Source organism: Homo sapiens, chromosome 13 (genome assembly GCF_000001405.40).
Source record: "Homo sapiens chromosome 13, GRCh38.p14 Primary Assembly".
Taxonomy (NCBI): Eukaryota; Metazoa; Chordata; class Mammalia; order Primates; family Hominidae; genus Homo; species Homo sapiens.
Window position 1 is genome coordinate 30,074,959 of NC_000013.11, and position 5,385 is coordinate 30,080,343.

Consider the following 5,385-nt stretch of genomic DNA (forward strand, 5'->3'; position numbering starts at 1 on the left):
CATTCCTGACTTCAATAAATCATCGATATGACCAAGAATTAATGAAAAAGCCAAGATTCAGTAATTTTAAGCTTCTGTTTTCACCTGAGATATCAAAAGTAGGCCCTAAAACACAGAATTTTATGATCCTCATTTAACCTCCTCATTTTCTTGATGAAGAAATGAAGGCCTAGAGACATAGAATTTCTTGTCAAGGTCAAACAGTTGCATGCAGAGCTGCAGCAAGCACCTGTTGCTCATTAAAAAAAAAAAATCCATAAAAGGAAAGTGCATTTGCTATTTATAGGAAACTGCCAAAAAATCGGCATAAAAGAAAATGGGCAGATCTCAGAATTCAAAGCTGGAGCAAATGTGTCCCTGGGGCCCATTCTAGAACTTCTGGTTGGGATGTGTTGGCCACCCGTCTCGAGCTAGGGTCTTACTCTGAGGCAGTGGTTCTCACTGTGGGGCCCCCGGGCCGGCTGCATCAGCATCACCTGGGAACTTGTTAGAAATACAAATATCTGGGACCCATTCATGGTAAAGTGAAACATAAATTCAGAGAGTGGGGCCCCGCAATATCTTTTAACAAGCTCTCCACACGTTTCTGCTGCATGCCAAAGGCTGAGAAACAGGCTCTAGGGCAGTGCCTCGCCAAGTTCAGCGCATAGGAATCACCTGGGGATCTTGTAAAACTGTAGGTTCTTATTCAACAGGTCGGAGGGATGGGGTCTGGGAGACTGCATTTCTAACAAGTTTTCAGGATATGCCAATGCTGCCTCTTTGGGGACCACACTTCGAGTAGCAAGATTCAAGTAAAGCCATGTGCCCATGTGAACAGATGCCAGGCCTGCATACATTGAACCTCAGCCCTCTGTGTCCTTCCTACTCCGAGTGTGGCCCAGACTCAGCATTGTGGGCACCCTCTGAAGCTTGTTAGAAATGCAGACTCTCAGCACCACCCCAGACCACTGCATGTAATCTGTGTTTTAAGAAAATCTGCAGGTTTACTTGGCAACATTAAATTTTGAGCAGTCCTGGTGGAGGGAGGCTGCTGGAGGCAGAGGGACAGTTAGCATCTCTGAGCCAGTCACCTCCACCAGGCAGCACCAAGACTCCACCCTAGTGCAACTGACAGATGTGACCTCCCACATTTGGAAAAGGCTGGTGGCCCAGGTGTAAGGGGAGGGGAGCTAGGGTGTCACCAGACAGAACAACCAACAACAGGGGCTGGGTAGGGGAGGACGGGGGACAGGAATCATGCAGGAGTATTTTTAATGCAAAAGTGTTAAGAAATAAGGCTTCTCCCCCGACAAAACCAAAATAAGACAAACAATGGCTGCTGTTGAAAGTTTTGCCAGGCAGTGCAACTTCGTCACATATGGGTGGGTGGGTGGCAGGCACTGAGGTTGTCATCACCTCCTCCTAAACCATCCCCCCCAGCCACAACCCTGCTCCAGAAACCAAGGAAGAAGTGGGAAAGGACTGCACAATGAAGAGAGGTTTGAGTTGGAAGCATTTTAGAGACATTGCCTACTGCATGAATTTCCTATGCTGCTGTAGGAAACCACCACAAAGTCAGTGGCTTAGAACAACATAAAAGCATCTCACGGTTCTGGAGCTCAGAAGTTCTAAAATCAGCCAGGCACGGTGGCTCACGCCTGTAATCCTAGCACTTTGGGAGGCTGAGGTGGGTGGATCACCTCAGGTGAGAAATTCGAGACCAGCCTGGCCAACATGATGAAACCTCATCTCTACTAAAAATACAAAAATTACCCAGCTACTTGGGAGGCTGAGGCAGGAGAATCGCTTGAGCCCTGGAGGCGGAGGTTGCAATGAGCCGAGATTGCACCATTGCACTCCAGCCTGGGCGACAGAGCGAGACTCCGTCTCAAAAAATAAAAAGAAGTTCTAAAATCAAAAAGTCAGTGGGGCTGTGTTCCATCTGCAGGCCTTAGAAAAGGACATATTTATCTGCCTTTTCCACCTGCATTCCTTGGCTCATGGCACCTTCCTCCATCTGCAAAGCCAGCAGTGCAGCGTAGCATCTTCAAACCTCCCCCTTTCCAACTTCTGCTTCTATCTTCACATCTCCCCCTCTGAATTTCCCACCTCTCCCTTTCTTTTCTAAGGACCCCTGAGATGACACTGGACCTCCTAGATAATCCAGATTAATGCCCCATCTCAAGGTCTTTAATTTAATCATATCTGCAAAGTCCCTTTTGCCATGAAGGATGACATATTCACAGGTCCAGGGGTTAGGATGGGGACATCTTTGGGGGTGGGGGGGAGGGTCATTGCTCAGCCTCCACACCCTTTTTCTAAAGCTTCTCTCATGGGTCTGTGGGGAAGGACGCCACCTTGCCAGGGGGCTTGCTGGGCTCCTGTGGCCCTTCTTTGAATCTGGAAGATAATGTTAATGTCACTGCCTCATTCAGAGCTGAGAACATTGTAGTATTTCATGTGTCAGACTTCCCACTGTCAGCAGGACTTAGCTTAAGTTATTTATAGTGTCAATGACTTGCCTTTTGCATTAATGTAACTGTTTGTGTTAAATAAATTTTTAAGATAGGAGCCATTCAGAGCCACACTGGGGAGTGCTTTCCGTTCTGCGGGGCACCAAGTTTCACAGGGAGAGCTTAATGAGACTGAGCTGGCATTGTTATTTATCACGCCCAACTGCCCCCTCACCAACACCAATTACACCTGAAATATGCTTATCTCATGAAGCTTCCATGGAGGACAGGCTTTCTTGTTGACTCTAAATGACTTTAGGTCTGGTGCAGGGAATGGGGTGGGTGACTGGCCTCAGGCCCCTGCTGCAATATAGGAGTCTGTCAACAGGGCCTTCCACTGCTGGTGGGGCTGTGATCTGGGGCAGGAAGCCTGTGGATGCCAGGCCCCTCCAGCCCCTGGCCAGGGCTCAACTTCCCCTTCTGGTTCCCAGAAGGAACAACAGAGGCACTGGAGCTAGAAAAATTCTGATTCCTTCAGCAAAGCCGGCATGTCAGGTCACTGCTAAATGCTGGGATGCAACCACAAAAGGCCTGGTCCCCACTCCAGGAGCTTACCTACAATGATAAGGAAACAGCAACAGTGCAGGACGGGAGGCATCATGGTAAAATTAAGAAAAGGGTGTTAAGGGGAGTAGAAAGAGCCCATATCCGGCCTAGCAACAACACGTGAGCTGGGGCCCAAAGAATGAGCTGGAGCTAATCAGGTGAGGGGGCGAGGAGGCTTTCCCGCATGAAGAGAAGCTGGAGTGCAGTGAGCACGTGGTAGGGGCTGGCTATTAGCATCTGTGTTATTATTATTCATGTACTCCTGCATGCATGTCACGCAGAAAGGTCACTGTCGTCATGACAACTAACACTTAACCTCATACTTACCATGTGCTGTGCTCCATGGGCTTCCCCTACATTAACTCATGTGCGGCTCACAACCACCTGTGAAGTGGTGACTATTGTTACCTTGGAAAGAAACTGAGGCACGGAGAGCTTAAGGCAGAGGTGATGCGACTCAGTGGCAAAGCTAGGCTGCCCCTCCTCATAGCCTGATTCGACAGCCCAACTCTTAGACAATTAATTCCCTGCCCTGGAGTCCCCAGTCCCCGGTACCTGGTAACGTGGCAGCTATAGATGGGATACGGTGAGTAGCAGCACAGTACCAGACAAACAGTTCTGGATTCTTCCACAGAAAGCTGGGTGCCTTGGAAAAGTTACAGGGTTCAGCCTTGATTTCTGGAGTGTGGTGGGCAGGGAAGAAGCCTGCAGGACTTCCATGAGACCCTCAGGTCTCAGGCTGCAGGTGTGAACGGCTCCAATGCACACATGGAAACGGCGCCCCCAGCAGAGAAAACATCGCTCCCTCCAGCTCCCAGATCTTTTAACCTGGAAGGGCCTTGGTCTTTTGAGAAGCTGCCCCTGTGTAGAATGTCAGGCGCCTCCACCATGGGTGGGGAGTGACAGCTCCCTGCTCTGTGGCCCAGCACTTCAGGAGGCCTGGAGACAAATCCACTCCAGATGGTCCCAGAGGAAATGGTCTAGTGGTCAATGAAGGGTGGGAGGACAGACACCAATGCCATGGCCTGGATCCCAGCAATTACCCTAGATGCTTATGAAACAGTCCATAGAGACCCTCCTTCCTCCAAAGCTCTTCCTTTGCCATTTTCATTAAAAGCCGCAGCTAACTATCATCACTCTGCCAGCCCCAGGGAGAATATACTCGTCAGGGTCTGATGCATCTTGGCAACAGTTATTTTCCTCTTCCTCCCAACAACACAAATGATCCCCCTTGCCCCTGGTACTCACCTCCCCCTTTCAGCCTTTTCATTGGGAAGTGATGAGCCATGCGAATACCCTTCAGGTGGGCTTCCTGTCCACATATTTGGTCAGCTCAACCCACAAACAAAGGCAATTTGCAGAGATCGTTGGCTCTGACAACCTGGGTGCTGCAGATAACTGAGGCAGAGCCTCGGGCTGCAGCCAGATTGGGCAGGCAGCCAGAACGCCTCAGGCCATTTTAAGAAGCTCCCGCAATCAAGTTCTTTACCTGACATGACCTAGGAAATCAAGATTCTCGGTGCTACTGGAGGGAAAATTAAGTGCCTTACTCAAATTATTTCAAGTGCCCTGCCAAGCATTACTAGCTTTTATTTTATTTTCTTAGTTGTTTTTAGTTGTCTCGATCGTACTTTAAGGGCAGAGAAAGTTGAGTTAGCCGGATGCGTCGGTTCTTGTCAGTGCAGCCGTGACTAAGAACTGCTTCTCTCAAACACTGGCTCTATCACTTAGTGGCCATGTGGCCTTGGCGACAGCTCTCTGTTAACTAGGGTTAGCAATGGTGCCTACCACTGCAAGCCTGTTGTAAGGGTAAAATGGTTATTGTACAAAAAATACTTAGACCTCTGACTGATGGATAGTAGGAGCTATGCGTTTGTATATTGTTACAATTAGATTTTTCCCCTTTTAATTATTATTTTACTTTTCTCTTTCTTCCCTGATCTCTGCTTCCCTTCTCTTCTCCAGGGAGCCAGTCTGAAGTATTTGATATATGGCCTGTTATCTTCATACACAGGCTTTTCAAAGTCAGAATTAATTCCAGGCCACACGTCACAGCCAACAGCCAATGGTGTTGTATTAACAATTTCCATAAGTGCTGTGTAAACTATGACCAGCTACAGTGATCACCATATTCTGGGCTAACAATTGAATTTACCTATAAAATAACTTCTTTATAGGCAGATGCTTTGTATTGACAGTGTATAAGTCTGGGTTCTTATTTGCAAGCAACAGAAATTGATCCTGGCTGAGAATCTCACAGAATGTCCAGCCATGGGGTGGGGGAATCCCTCAAATCTATGCCATTTTATAGGGATGTAAGGGATCATCTTCAACATATGGCTCC

General features: G+C 48.2%; 1 annotated feature.

Moving 5' to 3' along the window:
- Window positions 2,826–3,329: an enhancer, noted in NCBI's record as "H3K4me1 hESC enhancer chr13:30651921-30652424 (GRCh37/hg19 assembly coordinates)". NCBI's record gives its function as "activates a minimal SCP1, AML or CMV promoter by ChIP-STARR-seq in naive H9 embryonic stem cells {active_cell/tissue: H9 hESC(naive)}" and the evidence as "EXISTENCE:reporter gene assay evidence [ECO:0000049][PMID:30033119]".